Source organism: Homo sapiens, chromosome 10 (genome assembly GCF_000001405.40).
Source record: "Homo sapiens chromosome 10, GRCh38.p14 Primary Assembly".
Taxonomy (NCBI): Eukaryota; Metazoa; Chordata; class Mammalia; order Primates; family Hominidae; genus Homo; species Homo sapiens.
In genome coordinates, this window is record NC_000010.11 from 78,554,288 (window position 1) to 78,576,623 (window position 22,336).

A 22,336-nucleotide genomic window follows, 5' to 3' on the forward strand; every position below is an offset into this window, starting at 1 on the left:
TAATACACACACGCACGCACACACACACACACACACACACACACTCACATCTTCAAATTGGCCCCCAGGAATAATGTACAATTAAACTTCTAGTGCAGTTTAGACCCAAGTGCTGATGACAGAGGATTTGCTAGTTAATGACAGTCCTCTGTAGCTTGTAAGGTAAGTTGAGATAGGTGGGAGGTAAGTATAATTATCTCCATTTTTTCAAAGGAAGAAACTGAGGCCCAGAGAGGTTTAGTGACTTGGCCAACATCTGAAATGGAACTAAGTGGTCTTCTCTACTGGTTTCCCCATTCCAGTCATACCATCAGCACCCAGGGTCAGACCTTCACGGGCTCTAGCTTGGATTACCCCGGAACCACCTTGCCATTGTGGTAGCCACTAGCCACATATGGCTATTTACATTTATATTTATTAAAATAAAACACAATTTAAAAAATTAGCTCCTCTGTCTCTTTGACCACATTTCAAATGCTTAAGAACTATAGATGGCTACCATGTTGGATAGTACAGATACGAAGCATTTCCATCATAGAAAGTTCTATTGAACAGCATTGCTCTAGAAGGTTGGCGTTCTGTCTTCTGGTATGGCTTCTCCCACCCCCACTCCCTCACACCAACTATCACTCATTCTATACACCATGGGTGTATCAGACATCCTGAACACATAAATTTGATCATATCACTCACCAGTCCAAAACCCTTATTGATCTTGTTACCTGTTATCTGCCACATTAAGAGGAAGCACAAATCCACAACTACCTTTGCTCTTCATCTCCATGCTTTTCTGAAAAATTATTACACACTGGCTGTGCCTGGACTGAGGTCCTATAGGCACAGAGATGGACTAAGCATGGACTCTATACTCAATGAGCCCACGATTTGATGGGTTAAAATAATACACACTGCCTGGCCTCCTGCCCTGCTTTATTATTCCTGATAGCACTTAACCACAGCCAGCATTTATTTATTGCCTGTTGCTTCCACTAGAATGCATGCTTCATGAGGGCAGTGGCTTTTTATGATTTGTTGACTTCTATATACACAGAGCCTACTGAAGTGCTTGGCACTTAGGAGTTGCAAAACAAATATCTGTGAATGAATAACTACATTTCAGGATATTGAGCTTCCAATTCTTTCTGATGGGCTAGAAAAATTGGAAATGAAGCAATGCTCCACCACAGGAGTTTGCACCTCGAGCCTATAATGTTTGAAATCTGACCTGTATTCCCTCTTGATACTCAAATGCCAGGATATTGCATTTCTGCAAACAACCACCATTCCCTACATTGTTGGGATAGAGAAAAAGAAATAATACAAGACACATTTTATGGCAACTACTTGGTCCAAAGGAGCCTTCCAGGTGGGACTCTCTCCTACTTGTAAAGGTAAATCAAGCACTCAATCCTTGCAAGTTACCCAGCAGGGAAGTTCAAGGAGAATATTCACCAAACTTTCAGAAGCTGGGGTCAAAAGAAATGAAATAAGCAACTCTCTGCAACTCTTCTGCTTTAATTTTTGAGAAGTTTTTTAAATAATAGGGAGCATTCAGTTTAAGCAGTTAGAATCCTTTTTTGTTTGCCTCTTCATTTTTGGCACTAATGGCAGTAATGGAGCAAGGAACTGCTTAAGGAACAGTTTAAGGAAGACTACTGACAATGGTAGTGGCAGAACTTAGATCTTCAGACATACCATACAGAATCCCCCCATCTTTGCCCTGTTTTCCTTCATCTTTACCTTTATTCAGAATCTTCTTATCAAATAGGAAACACTTTCATCTCCTTCTGTTGATTTTTTTTAAAACCAGTTGAAAAGCCTCTATCTTTTAATAGGAACATTTAGTCCATTCACTTTCAGTGTAATATTTTTACACATTTTTTTCCTGACAGTTGGATTTATGTTTACTATTTATTTTTTGTTTCCTCTATTTTATTTTCTTGATTTTTACTCCACTTTTCTATTCCATTGATGGTTTCCTTCTATTTTTTTTACACTTATAATTGAACACATGCTTTTCCATTATATAAAAACAAAATGCCATTATTTTCACTACTGTTTTCTTCTTTACTCCAAGATCATATGGCCTTTAACATATTTTTAATTCCCCACTCTTTGTTTCTACAGATGAGAACTTTAAAACTCATTTACCTGTACCTTCTTTTCCCATGCCCCACAAAGTTCTAGTTTTTCCCAAAAGAGTTTTATTATAATTAGTTCCAGACTGTTATTAGATTTTCCCAATACTTTGTCATTTCTATTTCAAGATCTTTATTTAGTACTTTCCTTACACATTCCAAGAAACTCTATAATTATCCATTTAAATTTAACCATATATACATTAATTATTCACTGCTCTTTCTCTCTCTTCCTTAAACTGTTAAAGGAATTCTCTTCCCCTCGCCCCAATCTCCCACAGTCTCTGTTCTGATCCCCCTTTTATTTCTGGTCAGAATCCTTCTTTTATTTCTGTCCTTAGATGGTATAGTGGTTTTAAAATAAGTCCAAAACTTCTTTGATACTCCTTCCTTCATGAGGTAGAGCTTAGTTCCCTCCTCTTGCATGTGGGTTGGACTAGCTTCTAATGTGTAGAATGGAGAAGTAGTGTGACTTCTCAGAGTAGGCCATAAAAAGCATTGCAGTTTCCTCTTTGCTGTCTCTTTTGGATCATGAGCTCTGGAGAAAGCCAGTCACCATATTTTGAAGACACTCAGGCAGCCCTATGGAGACATCCACATGGGGAGAAATGTAGGCCCCCTACAATCAGCCAGCAAGGACTGAGGCCTTCTTCTATCAGCCATGGGAATCAGTCATCTTGGAAGCAGATCTCCCAGTCTCACTCAAGTCTCCAGATAACTGCAGATAGCAAATCATCAGAACCCCTGTTGAGACACCCAGAGGAAGCCTCTTTGTCTTCTCATTATCTCCTGAACACAGCACACCTGTTCAGTTCCCCCTGCAACTTCTCAGAGGCCAGGAAGACCAGCAGGTTCCCTCAGGAATGTTCAGGCTGGCCTATGAGGTCCTTCTGCTGGAATCTCCAGGGGTTGAGGTCACTCCAGGATCTTCTATTGTTCTGTTCTTCTCCTCGGTACTCTCAGCTGCTGAAACCCAAACTCTTGCCTAGACCAGACGGGAAATGGAATTCCATGCTTTCTGTCAGATTTTGGAAATTTGCTCACAATTTTCAGATCCTGTTGCTCACTGACCCTAGCACTGACTAACTCTGGAGGAGCTGTGATTGAATTCAATGGGGAGGGAAGCCGTTTCCTTCCCAGAGTGCCATCTCTCCACTGGCATAACCCATTGCTCCTTTGTGAGACTGAGTCCCCTGTCCTCAAAATACTCAATTCATTGTCTTGGATGCAGCCGACCTTGACATAGACTATGTAGGCTGGTGGATGCCAAGGATCATATTTCACTCATTTCACTCTCCCTCATTCTCCTAGCACCTACCTAGTACCACCAGAGACTTGTGAAATAGAGCTTATTGTTTTCTCTGGTGGCTTGAATAAAACACTGTTCCTCCCCTTTTGTAGAGAAGGGTACTGGAGTGCCTACCTGGGGTCCCAAAGACATATGCTCTTGGGGTAGTTGGAATTTGGGATGAGGTTGCACTCAATCATCCCTATTATCTTGCCTGGATTCTCCTGCAATAGCATATTTGCTTCAGGAGTTTACAAAAGGTATAAAGTATGATCCATTGGGCTGGAGAAGAGGGGCTGAGTCTCTGTTTTGTGCAATCCATATTGGTTCTAACCCACTTCTAAGAGTCTATCTGGAGGCCTTCAAGGCCTCCCCATACTGGACATGGTGAGCATTGACCTGGCAGGTGGTTCTCCAGCAGTGTTCTGGGAGCATTGTTCTCCCTGGGCTACAGTGTTGATGTCTCCATAAGGCTGCCTGAGTGTCTTCAAAATATGGGGACTGGCTTCCTCCATAGTTATTGATCCAAAAGAGACAGCAAAGAGGAAACCACAATGCTTTTCATGGCCTACTCTGAGAAGTCACACTACTTCTCCATTCTACTCATTAGAAGGCAATTGATGTCAAATATGTTTAGAAAACTTGCCAACTATGTCATAGAGTACATGTGGATATTACATAAACAAACACAAAGCAGGTAACCAGTAAAGAAACCTATTTAAATGTATTAAACCAAAATGTCCCAAACATACATGACCACTGATTTCATTCCCCTTTCCAGCATATATTGCCCAACAGCAACCTGTGGAAGTATTTTCTGTGGATAATACTTTGGGAAACACAGGGATCCTGAAGCTCCAAGGGACCTTGGAGTTCACATGGAGTCCAGTTTTTCCCTTTAACTCGGAGGTCTAAATCAGTAGCTCTCAAAGTGTGGTCCCCAGACCAATGTCACCTGGGAATCTTCTGAAAATTCAGATTCTCAGGCACCACTCAGGCCTAGAGAATCAGAAGCTCTGGGGGTGGGGTCCTACAGGCTGCATTTTTAAGTCCCACCAGGTAATTTCAGTCTGAGAACCACTCCCAGTGGACTGAGAAGCAAGCTCAAGCCCCATTGTCTGGGTTTAATTTCTACCCCTGCTACTTAGTACCTTTGTGACCTTGGGTGAGCTTTCCAAATTCCCGTGTGAAATAGTATCCATCTCATGGGGTGGTCATAAGCATTCGGTGAATTAAAATATAGAAAGCACTTGGAGCAGTATCTGCAATGTGTTAATTGCCATTGTGTTCCTGATTATTGCCATTATTGAATAGTTCCTCTGAATTTACACTGAAAGGAAAAGTAGAGTGTTATTGAGACCTACTATGTGATAGGAACTAAGGTATGGGTTGGCAAGGGAGGGTTGCAAGTTGGCATCTTAAAATTCTGATATCTGATTACTGACCTTACAGAACACAAGACATTCCTGTGCCAGGAAATGTTTTGCACTGTGACATTCTAGGAAGTATCTTTTCATTACAAGCCATGGTGCTTCATTATAAACTACTGATTTTGTGAGATGAGGAACTCAGAGGGAGTAGGATCACTTCCAGCTGTATTTTCTGCACCAGCTTCTGGTAGTGACTGGAATCCCAGCTTCAGCTTCAGCAAATGGCTTTTGACTCCACAGAGAAGGCCCTCCTCTAGGCACTTGCACAGAGAATCTCCTTTCAGTTTGTGTTACAATAAACCCAATGACATAGTAACCTCTGCAATTTGACCAAGGTTGCTCTGTGGCAGAGCTGGGATTTGAACACAAAGCCTCCAACTCTCTGCCTAGTGTTCCCACCACAACATTAGGGTATGTTCCATCTGGAGGACCCTTAGAGAGAGAGCATCAAGTTCAACCAGCTCAATTTGCAGAGAGAAGGTTGAAGTGAAAGGGAGCCTGTAGCTGGCTTAAGGCTGTACAGCACTGGAGTGGATGGGCTATAGCAAAAGCTGAGCTCTGCTCCTCTAAACTCCGTGCCTTTCACTTCAAGACATGGTGAGTCCCCAGCCTGACTCCTGCGGTTAGACATAGTGTGCGGGCTGGCTCTTGCGGATTTTTCTATTCTTTTCCAATCATCATGCCATGAGGGAGAAGGACTAGTCACCTGAGGTGGGGTGGGTGTGGATTTGCTGTCAATGGCCTTGTCCTACCGCAGATGTCCCTCTCTGGGACACGCTTGGTTGAAAATCTGCAGAAAGCTCTGGGAAAGCCAAACAAAAGGTAAGTAGAATGGGCCACAGGGGGCCCATTAGCTTCCTGGAGCCTCACGGAACATTCCCAGGAGAGATCATTGCTGGGAGTGTGTGATCAGCGCAGGCACCATCACAGGCAGCTGCTGGCATATTAATATTCCAGATAAATGGCTTTTGGCTCAGGCAAAAGATCCTGCTTTGGAGCAGGTTTCTTTTTGAAGCTCCTAAGAGGGGCAGCTTGCAAAAGAAGGCGAAGGAAAAAGACAGCTTTGCAGAATGATTCCACTCAAAACCCTCTGCTCCCATCCATCTCTGTTTATTTTGTTCCTCTGCCTCTCCTGATTCATGGCAGGCTCACAAAAAAGGCGAGAGAGAGCTCAGCTGCACACATCCTCAGGGAGGAAGACAGTCGGCAATTACTCAGGACACTAAAGCGGCCGTCTGCACAACCCATCAGCTTTGGAGCCTCACCACATTGTGCTTGAATCCTAGCTCTGCCATTTCCCAGCTATGTGACCTTGGCTGGATCTCTCAACCTTGTTGAGCCTCAGTTTTCTTGACTGTAAAATGGGAGAGGATAATGTTTTCCTTAAAGGGTGGCTGAGGATTAAATGCAGCCAGGTGCTTAGCACAATGCCTGCTGGTAGGTGAAGGTAGGTGCCATTATCACAAAGGTGGCAGCTCAGAGCAAACAGAGCTAGCCGAGTGTCCTGAGCAGGGCTGGTGACATTTATTCCCTGCAGTGAACCTGTTCACTGGCTGCTGAGGGCCCTGCTTCTTGTGCTGGATCATCCGGAGTGTGTCCAGATGTTTCAAACTTAGGGAAACTCCAGCCTAAAGTCCTTTAAATCTAATTTTATAGGTTCAGAATCTGAGACCCAGAGAGTGACTTGCTCAAGCTCACATAGCAAATTAGATGCTAGAGTGGAACAAAGCCTTGTTTTTTCCTGTCTTTCTCGGCATATAAGATACATTCTCCGAAGGAGCCTTACTACTTGAGGCCTTTCTCTCTTTCCCTGAAGCCCTGCACTTAGAAAGGGCCATATTTGTCACTGCAGGTCTATGTCTAGCAGACCAGACCAGGCCAGACTGGCAGAGGGGGCATATGATGTAGATGTTCGCAGACCTTGTCTGCAGGGAGGTCACCTGGTGAGCTGTTCAGAAATGGGTCTCCAGTCCCACCCCTAGAGTAACTGGGGCGGGGAGCGGTGTAGGCTGGGTCCCAGGAATCTGTGTCCACAATGTTCCCCTGAGAGCTCTGTGAGGAAAAGGTGGGGGGCCTCCTGGCCTGGAAGGTCCTCATCCCCCACCACCAGGAGGGGTATTGCTCCTGATTCTTGGGTGACCCTGAGCAAGTTACCTGTCTTAGATTCAGTTTCCTCATCTGTGCCATGGAAGGCAAATGCTCCTTTTCTCAGGGATTGTGGGAGCCAAACAGAAAAATATGTGGCAGTGTGTCTACCCCAACACCTGGTTGGGGTAGATACATGAAATGCTTGCTCAGGCAAGTCCAGGAGTGCCCAGCACAGCACCCAGACCAGCATGTCCCATGGAGGGACATCACCCCATCTTCTGTGGTGACCAGAGGCAGGTTTTCAGTGCAGATCTAGGCCTGGACTGGGCCCCCAGCAGGGCTGGCCAAGGTACTGAGCCTCAGGATGTGGGATACAAGGCATGATAGACATGCAGAACAATGACAGCAACAATAGGGCAGTTATGTGTGCTTACCATGAACCACACATGCACCAGGCACGCTGGACAGTCAGTCATTTCTCCTTTACCTGGGACACAGGAGGGAGCCCCATTTGACAGTGGAGGACAGGTACCTAAGGGCCATGCCCACGGTCTCACAGGGGCATAATGCCTGGTCCCTCTAGCCTTGGTGGCTCCTGCCTCCAGCTGTGGAGGAAAGGGCTGCTGGGGCACTGAGGAGATGTTCCCCAAGGTGGCCGCCAGCATTTTGGGCTGCAGATTCAGGGACACAGGAGCTCAAGGCTCGGCACTGGGCCAGGGTTTGAGTAGGCAAGTCTCACACCTCTCACACGCTTGAGCCCCATATGTGTTCATGACCAGAAAAAGATGCTGCTCCAGGCCTGGCTGCCTCATAGAACCAGTGAGAGGGCCTCAGGAGAGGAAGAACTTGACAGCCCCTGAGGAATATAAAGCAATTTTCAATGTCAGGAAGAAGATGCTAAGGATACAGAAGGAGTGGGAGGAGAGAAATGCATTGCTCCAAGTCCAAGAAAATGATCATTATCAAAAGCCCAATTTGAGCTCTTCCATGTACCCAGCATGTCCAGGGCTGGGACATGATCCATTCACCAACAATATCCCATCCCCCTCAGCAAACACACAGTGCTGTCTCTGCCCTTTCCCCTGAGGACAGTCCAGTGTCTTGGGCACCTGTGCACCACTGCTCCTCAGCCATTGGGGACCACAGTGCATCCTGAGAGTTTCTCACTGGGACCAGACAGAGCTCAAGAGGGATGTCCCGACTTTTGGGGGTGGACGGCCACCAGACTAGGACTGATGCCTCATTTCTAGGAGACGTGCAGGAAATACCAAGGCCACTGAGGAGTGAATCACCATCTAAGTCTCCTGGAACTGTCAGGAGGAAGGAGCCTCGAAAAGATCAACCTGAGATCAGGCCAGGGCATATGCTTCACCTACTGCCACATGGTTTGCCAGGGCTTCATCCATGAGGTCATATTACTGTGCCTCTGAGTTTGATAGCAATCATTTAATTCTAAGAGTCTATGACCCTCCGGCATTCGGTTCCACCATCCATCCACTGCTTACCGGCATTCAGAGTATCCTTGGGAAGCAGACTTCAGTCCCTAATTGCATACCTCTCATCACAGGGAATCATTCTCTCCCTTGCCAGCCATTTCATCTCCCAATGGCTCTGGCCTTGTTAGAAAATTGTTTCTAGTGGGAGCTAATATGTCTGTCTCTCTGGGGACCCACCCGCTCTCGCTGTCCCCTTTAGAGATCTTGGAGGTGAAGTCTTGCCCTTCTCTGCATCCTCATGAAACAGGGAGTGACCAGAGACATGAGATGCACCATCTGTATCAAACTCCTAGGGAGCATTAGGCAATTTTGTTTTCACTCTTTTCTGTAGAACTTTCCCATCTCTTAGCAAATGAAGGCAGGTCTGATGCTGTTATTCCTATTTTATTGATGAAAACAATGAAGCACAGAGCAGGTAACTGAACATCGAAGGCCACGTGTTGATAAGTTGAAGAAGTGGACCTGAGATTCAGGTCATCATCCTCTAAGCCTGAGGCTATCTAGGATGTATTGTGTGAGGTTCAGGGTCTGAATTGCAGGGGGTTCTGGGGTGTCCCACTGTCCTTCAGGGAACTTGGCCTCGTCACACCTTTTCTGACCAGCACAGAGCCCCCTGCCCTGTGTGACCTTAGGAGCAGGGGACATTTTATTTCTTAGAATAGGGCCAGACAGCCCAGGCTGCTGGCTTTCCTCCAGCAATTCTTGGGGCTGCTTCAAGCAGAAATGTCTGGAAACTTGTGGAGTTCATGAGTAAATGGCTTCATGGAAGTGCCTGTTAAAATTTCCTCTGCTGGAGACTAAAGTAGACAGAGCCAAAGCCAGTGGGCCTCCCACCTCCCTCACGGTACCCCTGGGTCTCATTCCTCTTTCACTCCAGCCCAGCCCTGGAAAACCCACACCCTTGTCTAAACACCAGCACCAAGCCGACCCAAGCAGAGACCATATGTGTTAGATTATATTATTGTTTAAAATATTTGCTGGTCTTTTCCACGGAAGATTATTCCTCCCTACCCCATTAGGCTTGGCCATTTGATTTGATTTAGCCAATGAAATGTGAGCAGAAGTGAAGTGTGCTACTTCTGAACAGAAGTATTAAGAGCTATGGAGTTCTACTCTGTTTTTCCTCAGCCATGAGACTAGATATGCTCCAGATAGAGGCTGCTCCCTCTGCCCAGTACTGGAATGACAATGGCATAGAACAGAGCTGCATATCGTCAGAAAGGATATAGAACTCAAGTGAGAACTAAGCCTTTGCTGCTGTAGGTCACTGAGAGTTGAGAGTTATTTGTTACTGCAACATAACTTAGACAAGCCTGACTGATACACCAGACATGGCAGGAGGTAATGTGTTGTCAAGACAGATGGGCCCTAGGGTTCCTCCAGAGCAAATCTCCCATGACAAAAAAAAAAACCTCCCCATGTGGGAAGAGAGAGAAAATGCCTGCAGGTAGACCCAGAGGTGAGGGAGCTTTATTCCCCCAACTACCCTCTGCAGACTTCACTGACTCAGAATGTAAAAGGCAGAGTTTGCATTTGCCTCCATCTCCCCACACTTCCCCAGCCAGAAAGCTTATTTGGGGCCTCTGATAGGAATGATGTGATGCCCAATTTTTACTCAATTATTGATTTTTATCCTCAGGAGAAAATAGTTTGTGATCTTTAAATAAGGAAGGAAAACAGCTCCTGGAATTGATTCCTGAGTAATTTAATCACCTTTTGTCCAGACAACTCAGAGCTGGCTCAAGGATTAGCCACATATTGATGCATGTACTGAATTTCCAGCTATATCCACATGCAGAGGGACCTGGGGAGCTTCACTGCCACCCCTTCTCCACCCCTCTGTCTCTTGGGAGAAGCACTGTGCAGAGAACTGCTTTGGACCATACTACCTTCCAAAGCACCCAGACAGAGGAGTGGGAGGGCCAGTGAGACCACATCCATGCCTTCAAATACAGAAAGGAAACTGATGCTCAGAAAAAGCACACACCAAAAAATCTTGAGGTGCTGGGATGTGTTATGTAACAGTTTTCCTCATCTATGGAAGAGAAAACAATTGTCTGAGTGGAGATCAGGAGGCTGGGGTCTGACTCCTGCTTTCTCCCCCGCAGTTGCAGCAATACCTTGGCAAGCTGCTTGTCTTGGAGTCTCAGCGTTACTAACAGAAGGCTGGTTTCTGTCATTCATTTACTCAATCATTCACTTAATAATCACTTTCCAAACACCTGCTATCTACCAGACACAGCATATAGATGACAAAAACTAATGAAAGTAAAATGAGGTGTGGTATGTTGGAAAAGTGACCACAGATTCTTCCCATCTCTATGCCATTTTTTCATCAAGACGTAGAGTGTAGGTAGACTTGGCCATGGGTCTTTCTTGGCCATGTGAATTTCTTTGGCCAATAGGATGATAGTAAATGTAACATAGCAGAGACTTATAAAGCCCCTGCATATTGGGACTTCCTTCTTTCCTGTGCTTGTATCCCTGAGACCACCATGAGAATAAGCCCAAGCTAGTCTGCTGCAGGATGAGAGTCATGTGTCCCAATTCTTCCTATGTCTCATGCTGACAGCCTGCCAACCACTGGCATGTGCGCACAGCATACCTAGACTGTCCAGCCACCAGCCTACCCATCGACCGACCACAAATGCATGATGGTGCCCAGAAACAGTGGGCTACACCAGAAAAAACACACCCAGATGACCCACATAATTGTGAGCAAGATAAAATGATTGTTATTTTAAGCCATTAATTTTGGGGGTGATTTGTTACAGGGCAAAAGCTAACTGACACAAAAAGGAAGACATCCATTGAGCATCTTTTCATGGTAGATAAAGGCCCTTTACACAGATTTCCTTATTACATCTTTACTATAACCCTGATGAGGTAGATAATATGCACCTCACTTTACAGTTGAGAAAACCAAAGCTGAGAGAGGTCAACCCACTAGTCAGACCAAAGCAGTAGAGAGCCAGAATTAGAACTCGAAGCTAAGATGGGCATAACCTGCCAAGGAGGTACCTGCCAAGGGAAAGGTTTGTGCAGCCAAGTTTGAGTAGACTCTGCTTTGCAGGCTTGGAATTCTTGGTCTGTAGGCTATACAACCCACCATAAGGCTTCACTCTTGGTGCCCTGCAGAGCTGCATGCTGTGCAGGGAAAAAGTATGATGAGTCCAGAAAGCCTGAAAAAAGATGGGGTCATGATGAAAGATGTGGGGAGAAGAGGTCAAGGCAGTGCTTTGCAGCTGAAATGCCTCATAAGACCAGCTTATGGGAGCCTGCTTCTAAATGATCAATTCCAATCTCATTATGACCGCAGCTGCCATTAACTCAGGAGCTAATTGCTATTAGCTTACAGAAACTCAAGAGGGTTTAGCCGCAAAAATTTCATGACACGGGGCCATCTCACTGCTTAAATGGCCACATTCCTGTTATTAATTCCATTTGACTATTAGCTTATTACTGTTAAGTTATTATAACTTTGTATAAAGTCCTTGAACCGGATGTATGTCCTCCATGTACATTTCATTATGGGGCACAGAGTGCACCCAGAGGTTCGATACTTTAATTTTCATTTTTCTTTAAAGTATAGGCTTATTTAAAAGCATCAGGAAGGTTCTTGATTTGGAAGACAGCTCTGTAAGCAAAAGCCCTAACAAAAACCAGACTTTGCTCAGCGTTTTGATGCAATTAAGGTCTTGGCAAATGTAGAGTGAGTCTGAACAGCAGAGCTGAGCCCTGGAAGGGCCCTGGGAAAGTCTGGTCCATTCTTACGTTACAGTTGGGGAAACTGAGGACTAGACAGGAGGCAGGACTTAGGTGAGAAAACATGCCATGTCAGCATCAGGCAGATGGCACTATCTGAAACAACCAGCTCTCTGTTTTAGATGAATTAAAAGTCTGCTGAAGATGCCAAGTATGTAAGATTACCCACACTAGACCATTTCAGCAGGGTCTGCAATCTTGCCTGTAAAAAATACCTACGTGCTAAGAAATGGGCCAAGATGCAATCATTCACTCCTTTCCAGTGGAGAGGCAGCTGGATGGAGAACTACATGACAGTGTGTAAAATTAGACATATTTAACGGGTGACGACAAGGTTCTCTCTGTCTGCGTTCAGAAGCCTCCCTTAACAAGATCCAGTTGGTTAGTTAAGAAAATAGGAGTGTGTACAATTACCAAGTTCACCGTTTGTTTTTGTTTAACTTTGTAGCTTCTTCCCAAGATGCCTCCAGGCATGTCTGGAAAAATATCAGCACTTGTCTGGGCCTGGGAGGTGTTCTCTAAATGCTCCATGGAGTTCCTCTGTGGTCAGGTCCAGGGGGCAGCTGGTAAGGAGGGGTTAGTGGGGCCAGGGCTCTGACACCAGCTCTGTCTCTCACTGGCTGTGTGGTTGTGGAGTGTCACGGTCCCTCCTTGGGGTCTCAGTTTTCTCATCTACACAACTGAAGGAGCAAAATGGAATGTCCTCAATCCTTTCCTCTTCCACATGTTTATTCTAAATCTCTTTTATTGGATTTTTGCTCTTAAAAGCATGGAGGAGGGAGGTGATAAGACAGAGCAAAGGAAATTGACAGCTCTTGAGTGCAGGGCTTTCTCTGGGGTCAGGGTTTCTGAAAGGATCCTAATTAAAGCCAAGTGAGCTCTTTCGAGTGAAGATCTCGGCAGAGTTGCTTGTTGACCTTGAGAGGTAGGGATTGCTGAGTGACAGAGAGAGAGAAAGACGAGAAAAGAGAGAGGCGAGGAGAAAAAGGAGTCAGAAAGGAATACAGAAGAAGGAGAAAGGGAAGTGGAGGGGGCAGTGGGGCAGGGAAGACAAGCAGCCTCAGATGAGGGAGAGATTTAAAGCAAAGAAACAAGTTGGTGAAAATCAGGGGGGAGGAGCAGAGAGCAGACAAGAATAAAAGGTAAGGAGGGACACAAATGGAGAAGCGGGGGATAGAAATGCACACATCTATCAGTTAATTTCCAGAGCATACAAAATAGAAATAATCCTCCTTCAAAGCATGCATTTGAGGGTGAAGTGGGAGACAGTATGACATGAAATGAAAGCCGGAAGCATTTTTCAATGCGGACACATAAGCAAGGCTTTAATTATTAACTGATTGCTTGTGTATGTGCGTGCATGTGCACACACACACGTGCAAGTAACAGGCCATTGTGTCCAGGCATTGTGAAACAAGCCACGGAATCCACTGGTCAGAGTCAATATTTCCTCAAAATGGCAGTCATTTAACCATTGTGCCTGTCTCTGCTCTCAGAATGTAACTAACATCTTAAGTCAATAGCTTTATGGAATCCCTGCAAATCCCTTCTCTCTTGCTGCCACCCTGGAGAGGCACAGTTGTGTGTTTTACCTGGAAATAAAACAGCTGCACCCCTAGGGCAGGCAGGTGAAGAGACAGCGATGATCTCATTGCCTGCCCAGCCCATTTTCCTCGTGACCCACGTTGCAGCTGGCATGCAGTCTGCAGCCCTCTGATTTAGCCAACTTGGGGTCCTCTTGCTCAATTGCAAGAGGACAGGAGCTGTGGGAGGCTGAGGAGGGAACCTGGCTCAGTGGCTCTGCCCCTTCCTCTTCTCTTGCTTCTGGGTCAGGTGATTTGGCCTCAAACACCACACAAAGATGAAATATTTTGTTCCCTCACTGCTCGGTAACTATTCTCCTAAGTCCCCGGAGTTTCTGAGCTGTGAAAACAAAACAAAGCCCATCTCAGGACAGCTGAGGCCCTTTTGCCCTCTTGGTTTGCCTTGATTTTGTTAGTTTCACCTAGAGGACAGGACTAGACACTGTGGTCCAAGTTGGGAAGATAAAATGTTGTCTGTTTCTGAAGCAAAAAAGCTGAGGCTGAGATAACAATTAGCATTGATAAGGTCCCTATAGGGGCTTGAAAGAGAACCCTGGCTTGTTTGTCAGCTTCCGTGTGAGGCTGTGAGCCCACTGGTCATGGTTAGCACTTGAGCTATCCCCTGTTTGTGGGTAAACCAGAACTCCAAGAAAAAAGCAGCTCTGATTTGTAGCATTCACCAATTTCCATGGTGTAAATACTCCCACTACAGCCAATTTCAACTGGTAAGTGGTGATGTCACAGAAGGAGGAGCTGGAAAGAGAAGAAGATATTCAGCTCTTGCTGTTCTGGGAGGAAGTGGCCCCAGCACACCACTGTTTGGAACCATTTTCTCAGGGCTTCCTTCCCCTGCTTATAACTTTCTTCATTACAGGGCCCATACTGTTGCCCATGAGTTCTTCTAAAATGTGGGCATGATCGTGGTGCTTCCAGGGTTATAAACCATCAATGGCTCCCTATTGTCTATGAGATAAAACCTAAGGTTCTTAGCCCAGTATTCAAGGCCTTTTTAATTTGGCCTCACTCTTATTTTTTTTTTTCAGTCAGATACATGACCCATGTAATATGCACCATATTTGGACTCTGATGATTGCTCTCCTGTTCTCACTCCCCTGGATTATAAGTTCCTCATGGGCAGACAGTCTGTGTTCTTCCTTTTTGCATCTCCAGCTCCTCACATGTTGTATGTGCTCCCCAGATGTTGCAGGAAGGAGGGGAGGGAAGGCCCTGAGTAATATTGGTTAATGCTGGACCACTGGCCTTTCCCTACAGGGCCTGTGCTCACCAGTTCCTCCATGGCTCTTGGCTCTTGCCCACCCTCTGCCCAATGTGCCCCCCCACCACTTCCTCCACCATCAAACTCCAAACCCACGTCTCCTGGCTCTAGCATCAGCTGTGCATGGGGATGTCTTCTCCACTGCCGATCCATCCATTCCACAGCAGACATGAGTTGAGCTTCCCCTACATGCCAGAAGCAGCTCCTGGCATGTGCTGGGGAAACAGCTATGGATGAGACAGATGACATCTTTGCCCTCCTGGAGCTGACACATGGGGGAGATTGATGATCAAAAGAACAGCAGCAATGCCCCGAAGCTAAAGGGCACAGGAGAAAGCTGGAGCAGAGAGGGTGTCGCACGGGCTCCGGTTTGATAAGAACAGCAGGGCAGGCGTCTTGAGGAGCTCTGTGAGGGGAAGCATCATGTCTTTGTCTCCCCCATGGGGTCTGGCCCCTTGTGCCTCCTCCAGGCCTATCTTGTGGATTCTTTCATTCATCTTACATAGTCAGAACATCCCTTATGAGGCTTCTTCCCCTGAAGAAGTGTGCTTCAGTCTGTTTCATCCTGAGAATGGCCCCGTCCTTGACCTTAGCTCTCTCTTGAGATGATGCACTCTCGTTCTCATCTTGTCTGCACAGCTTTCCTGCTGCTCCTTTGCTCTAACATCCACTCCTAACCGCCACAAAATCCAGTCCCAACCATAGTCAGTGACCCCAAAGCCCCATCCAGGCACTTCTCAGTCCTTCCCTTGCAGGGCCTCTGTGGGGTTGGACCCATTGAGCATCGCCTCCTGCGGAGACTCTCCCCATCCCTGGACTTGCCTTTGCTCCCCCAGGGTCTTTTTTCTGACTCCTCTGCTTCACTCCCAGGACATCAACCTCCACCTCCATCTATAAGCAGGTGCACCCTCAGCCCACACCTACAGTCAACGCCTCTCTCCTGAGCAATGGGCTACAGAACCAGCCCTCTCATGGCCATCTCCCGCCTTGAGTGGCCCACAGGCCTTGGACATCAGTGGGTGTGATCGTCGCTCAAATCAGCCACTCTCCTCAGGTCCCTGCTCGTGAATGGGTCCACCGGTCAGCCAGGACCCCAGCAAAGAACCTGGGTGCCACCACAGACTCCTCTCTCTCCCATACTTGCCTCAATAATTCAGCAATTCCTGCTGCTTTTATACCCTAACTTATTTTCAGGTTTATTTCTCCATTTCCACCACTGCCCCCGTATTTGTTATTCAGGGCCTCACTTCCTCTCACCTCCTAACAGATTTCTCTGACCCAGGCTGGCCTCTGATTCACATAAAACCTCCAGAATAATCCTTCAGAAACAGAAGTTTGCCCACACCCCTCCCTGTGTAGACCCATCCTGTGGCTCCCTGTAGCCCACAGTGGAGGCCCACACTCCCAGGCCCGTCCCGCAGGCCCTCCGGGGCCTGGTGCCTGCCTGTCTGCCTGCCTGCCTCTCACCACACCATCCTCACTCTGCCTGGCCCTCGGTATTCCAGGCACACCCGGCTCCTTGTCATTCCATGCACTCAGCAGGCTGTTTCATGGCTCAGATCCTGTGCTTACTCAGGGTCCTCTGCCTGGAATAGCCCGACTTTCTCCCCGAGCCAGTCCACCTGGCTCACCCTTCCTGACTCTGCACCTCTCAGCTCAGGCATTCCCTGCTGCCAGAAACTTCTCTCACTGACAACCCATCCCTGAACAGATCCCACAGGACAGACTGCTCTCCCTGTTCTGTGCACCCCCCACCACACACACACACCATACTGTAATTCCCTGTTTGCAGGCATTTCTCCAGATTGTGAGGGGAGCACACAGCCATGTCATACTCATCTTTCACCCTCCATGCATAACTTATATTGTTCACTTGAAAAGTCATTTGCTCAACTAGTTCAGTGCCAGGCACCTGGTTAGAAGACGGGAAAGAAATGTACACTTGGCAGGGAAGCAGGAGAACATCATGGTTCCTGCCTTTCTGTTTAAGAGCTGTGTACCCTTGGTAGGTCCTCAACCTGTCCGGGCCTCTGTTCCATCACCTGTAAAATGAGCTGATAGCAAAGCAGCTCATCAGCGGGTTGCAGGAGGATTCACTGAGATGTGCACCGCTGAGCGCTTTGAACAGTCAGCTCCTCTTGTTATTCCCGGCACACTGTGGGACCTGCTCATGGACATATGTTATTCCACTCTCTTTTCATAAGGCTCTAGTGAAATAGGTGTTGTTATCCTGACTTTCCCTGTTGGGGAACTGTTGGCAGAGGCTGAGTGGTCTCCCAGGTCTCCCACGCAGTCAGAGATGGAGCAAAGTGTCACCGGCTCTGTCTCTCTGCTCAGAACACCTTGGGGTTGCTCCTCTGCTGACCTGATTTCAAGGGAAAGAGAGACCCTCCATGGAGTCTGAAGGAGACCATTTCCTGCAAGCCAGAGAAAACCCTGTGGTGGGCAGCCACCTGAGGACACAGGGCACTCATTGTCCCTTGGGTAACTTCTCCAATGCCCACAGAGCTGACGGGAGAGTTTCTGGACCATCACGGTTCACACAGGAAAGCTGGATTGTGTGTCTTTAGGGGAACCTCACCACCCCTTGGGGTGATGTCTGAGCTGACAGTCTGGCCAGGTGCCTCTCACACAAAGCTGCTTCTTCCCCATCAGACGGACTCCTGGGCAGGGAGTGGGTGGTGGGGCACAGGTGGGGCTTACCTGACAGGGCCTTTCCAGCAGGGTCCCCTTGGGGTCTAACTGGCCTCTGCCCTATGCTTGCTGTGTTGGCAGGATGCTTGCTTGGATTTCAGCACCTGGCCCCTCACTCAGCATGCCTGCCCTCAGAGTTCATGTGCAGGGATAAATGCCCCTCTATTTGGGATCTAGAGGTGCCTGGCAGGGATTCAGCCCCTGTGGGGTTTCCTGTTCTTCCAGGAGCTATGTCCAGTGGAGCCTCTGGCCTCACACAATGCTGGCCTCCCAGTTTGGCATCCTCAGCACAGCAAAGTCCCCAGGAACTGTTCCCATGGGATGCCCAAGTAGTGGGGCCCCCAAGACCTTTGGGAAATCCACCCTGTGGGGTCACTTTCCTCTATAAACAGCCAAGGTCAAATGATACATGTGTTTCTGATTTGGGAGGACTGGGCACCAGGGTTGGGGAGGGCGCTGATCAAAGGGTCAGGGAGCTGGGAGGAAGCCTGTTTAGAGAATGGGGAGATGGAAAACTTTTTTATTTCCTAATCAGTCAGCAGAAGAGATTTTCTGAGGGGGTGCCTCTGATCCCAGAGGGAGTAGAGGAGCTGATGCCAAGAAAAAGGCCCCAGCCCACAGTCCTGGGAACAGATTCCTGGCTTTGCCCTCATTCATTCCATGGCCTTATGCACATCTTGTTTCCCTCATGAGACTTTGTTTCCACATCAGCATGCTGGGAGACACACCCAATTAATCAATTTCCCCATTTGTTATTTATGAGTGTCTGTGGATCAGGCCCAGTGCCAGGTACTGGAGACAGAGAAAGGAAAGTCTCAGCCCACAGTCTCAGTGCTCTGGGGAACCGGGCCATCAGCTCCACTCTGAGCAAGGGAAAGGCCAAGAGGAGCTTTGCCCAGGTATGTGGAAACACAGAGGAGGGGTTTTTTGATGGGTTTGAAGGTGGCCCCCAAAAGATAGATCCAGATCCATGGACTCCTGGTACCATGAATGTGACCTTCTTTGGATAGAGGGTTTTTGCAGATGTAATTAACTTACTGAAGTCACCCTGAATTATTCAGATGGGTCCTAAATTTGGTGACACATGTTCTAATAAGAGATAGAAGGGGAGAAGACACAGACACAGGGAGAAGACAGCCATGTGAAGGCAGAGACGGGAGTGAGGCATCTACAAGCCAAAGACTGCCGGCAACCACCAGAAGCCAGGAGAGAGGCCTGCAACGGGTTGTCCCTCACACCCCTCAGGAAAAGCCGGCAGGCCAACACCTTGATTTGGGACTCCTGGCCTCCAGAACTGTGAGAAAATGGATTGCCACTATTTCAAGCCACCTGGGCAGTGGTGCTCTGGTGCAGCAGTCTATGGGCAACTGAGTGTCTAACTCACATCCAGGAAGGTTGTCTTGGGAGGTTTCTGAAGCAGCGGCATTAGAAATGAGTCCTGAAGTTGGAGTAGAAGGTCATCAGGTTGCAGGGAGGTGGGCAGAAGGCCTTCAGGAGGCCTTACCGGAGCGTGCACAGGCATGAGGCAAGAACAAGCACTGCGGGGGCTGAGGACAATGATCCAGTAGGACTGGAGCCTGGGAGCCTGCAGAAGACAGCGTCAAAGATAGGCCTACTCTAAAGATGGTACTCTGTTGACCCAGAGTCTGGATGTCATTGTGAGGGTAATGGGCTCATTAAAAGTGTTCAGTAGGGGAGTGCTCCAGTCAGGTGTGCTTTGGAAAGGTTTCACAGGAACCCAAAGAGAAGAATGGATCCAGAACTGACCCGTCCAAGACTAGGAGGTCTGTTTGGCAACAATGCCAGCCTGGAATGGTGGGAGATGGAGTGGGCAGAGGCGAGGCAGGCACAGAGCCCAGGGGATGGGAGGACACAGGGGGAGGAGACACCATCAGCAGAGCCTGGACTGCCTATTGTGGGGCACTCTAGGAGGCCACCCAACTAGGGGTCTGGGTGATGGCGTCATTCCACTTACTGAACCATGGAGAGAGAGTGGCCTCAGGGGTCCACGATGAGTTAGGTTTGGGGACATGTTGCATCTTCATGCGATTGCTAAGAGGATCAATGGACTATAACATATGCAAAGTGCCCAGCACAGCGGCCAGCCAGTGGCGCTCAATATTTATCAGGAGACTGCAGAAACAGGCCCGAGGGAGGGACTAGACACTTGTCTCCATCTCCATGCCTGGCACCATCTGCAGTGCTGGGCACAATAGGTGCTCAATGAATGCCCACAGAATTGAAATATGGGCTGGACCTCAAACACCATCTGCCAGGCCATCATAAGCCCAACACTTTGCAGCAAGAGATTCACCCCACAGACCACATCGACATCCACGCAGTTGCAAGGAAATCAATCGGTCTGGCTCCAGCTGTCGAAACTAGGAGCCAAGAGGAACCCTGGACAAATAGTCTTCGGCTCAGCACTTTCTCCATCTGGAAAGAAAACCAGGTGGGGGCAGGGGAGGAACACCAGGCCATCAGAAGGTTATAAGTCCATAAATAAGAGATTTGTGGTAAATAAGCTGGCGAACATATCCGCTGGCTGCTCTTTTTTATCACTCACCTAGACAGCAAAATTCCCCCGCATCTTTTCTGCAGGCCAATAAATATCCTTCAAGGAGCCTGTATTTACATAGAGAGCAAGGCGGGTGCCACTGCTCCACAGGCCCCATGTCAAGAAGGAACAATGTATGGCCCTAAAGAGAATGGCTGTGCGGGGAATCAATGCAAATGCAGTTTCTTTTCCCAGGGTGATGCTCCTGAGCAGGGTTCAGCCCGAGTTCAAGGATTGTGCTCAGGCGGGTGCTGAGGGGACCTTTACATGGAGGAGGTGAATCTCTCCCCTAGGCAGGGTCCCCAGCTGCCTCAAGCCCACTCTGGGGCTCTGCACCCAAGACCCTTTCTCCAAAATGAAAGAGGCCTAAAGGTTATACTCTGGGACCTCTAGATCAACCACTGGGTGTTATGCCACAGAAGGATTCATTAAGGACCTACTGTGTGCCAGGCGCAGTAGGTAAATGGAAACAAGGACAGACAAGGCTCCTGCCTTCCAATCAGAGAGCTGGGATTGAGTGGCTTCGCCCAGTAGTGGGGAAGGCTGGTCAGAAGGGCTGGCATATAAGCTGACACACCCAGTGGGATTTGAACATGAGCAGAGGAGAGAGGGTCCTGAGTAGAGACCATGGCCTGCTCAGAGCACCCCAGGTAAGAGACATGGAAGCAAGGTGCCAGGAGGAGGTAGAAGGACATCTGATACCTGGAGCGCAGTGGGTGAGAAGAAACCAGGTGAGAAGAGGGACTAGAAAGAAAGCAGATGGCTTTCTGGGATGTGGCTCCTGCAGACTCCTCCAGCCCTCAGGGACTTTTTTTTGTATGGGCAGTGGGAGGCTACTTCAGGTTCTTAGTTAGGAGAATGACATTCCCAGAGAGCTCTCATTACTAAAAAAAGCAATCAACAATTTTTCTCATGACCACATGCTCTGGGTATTGTCCCCTTCATCTTGGAATAATGCCCAGCACACAAAAAAGTGCTTAATAAATATCAGCGGAACCACTGAGTCAACGTCTGAAATCCCCCACAGAGCAGACCTCGCAAGCATATTTTCTATTCGAGTGACCCAGGAAAGCGGTGCTATGGGCAGTGTTTTGCTTTCTGCCTGGGAGGTGAAGGGGGGCGATGTGGTGGCAGTTGAGTGACTTGCCCAAGGTCATCCACAGGCTTAATGGCTGAGCTGAGATTGGATTTCAAGTGTTCTGTTTGTTAAAAAGAGCCCAACATGATGCAGCTTAAAAAGAGGGCTAGAAATAAAAGTGGGACCAAGACATAGAAGACAGAGAGAGAGGAAAGAAGAGCAAGAAGGAGAAACAGGCAGATGTCTCATCTTCCTGTACCTGTACCACTTGGGGCTTTATTTACAGAACTTGGTGTAATCATATAGGATGTAACATCTTTTAAACATTTACCAAACCAAGAGCATAAGCTTTTAAACCTACACATGCATTCACATTTGACCATGGTACATTGTTTTACTTTATGAAGAATGGCGAACACTGCTTTGTGAACATCTGGCTGGTCTTTTTTCAAAGCCAGATGTGGTAAACGAAAAAAGACAAGTCCATAGGCTACACCTGCCAGGAGCAATGACCAGGATTTCTTAAACCATGTACATGTTATTCCTTTTGGACTCAGCTGAAGATACTTGCTCCTGCTCCAGAAAGCCTTAGAGTTTCTAGAAGGCTGAAAAGCAGGAAAGAGAGAAGCTCCTGCTTTTCAGTCCATAGCAATGCAGGGAAATCAGATGGGGTGACATGTCACAGACGCACCCACCTCAAGTTCAAGGGGAAGGAAGAAGGAGGCCTTGCTGTGGCCTTCTGGCCTGTGCAATATTTGCAGCCAGGCCGTTAGAGAAGAGCCACACGGGAGCCTGTTGGAAGGGCTGGCAGCTGCGTGCTTTTTCCGTTGTTGATAAGGGAGGCATTTCCTAAACCTGCCACTGGCCCTTTGTCTCCTTGCATGTATACAGGTTGAACATCCCTAATCCAAAAATCCAAAATCCACAATGTCCCAAAATCTAA

The 22,336-nt window shown here is 47.6% G+C and overlaps 3 annotated features.

The window, feature by feature from the left end:
- Positions 5,067 to 5,980: an enhancer, noted in NCBI's record as "OCT4-NANOG hESC enhancer chr10:80319111-80320024 (GRCh37/hg19 assembly coordinates)". NCBI's record gives its function as "activates a minimal SCP1, AML or CMV promoter by ChIP-STARR-seq in primed H9 embryonic stem cells {active_cell/tissue: H9 hESC(primed)}" and the evidence as "EXISTENCE:reporter gene assay evidence [ECO:0000049][PMID:30033119]".
- Positions 15,983 to 16,484: an enhancer, noted in NCBI's record as "H3K4me1 hESC enhancer chr10:80330027-80330528 (GRCh37/hg19 assembly coordinates)". NCBI's record gives its function as "activates a minimal SCP1, AML or CMV promoter by ChIP-STARR-seq in naive H9 embryonic stem cells {active_cell/tissue: H9 hESC(naive)}" and the evidence as "EXISTENCE:reporter gene assay evidence [ECO:0000049][PMID:30033119]".
- Positions 16,485 to 16,984: an enhancer, noted in NCBI's record as "H3K4me1 hESC enhancer chr10:80330529-80331028 (GRCh37/hg19 assembly coordinates)". NCBI's record gives its function as "activates a minimal SCP1, AML or CMV promoter by ChIP-STARR-seq in naive and primed H9 embryonic stem cells {active_cell/tissue: H9 hESC(naive and primed)}" and the evidence as "EXISTENCE:reporter gene assay evidence [ECO:0000049][PMID:30033119]".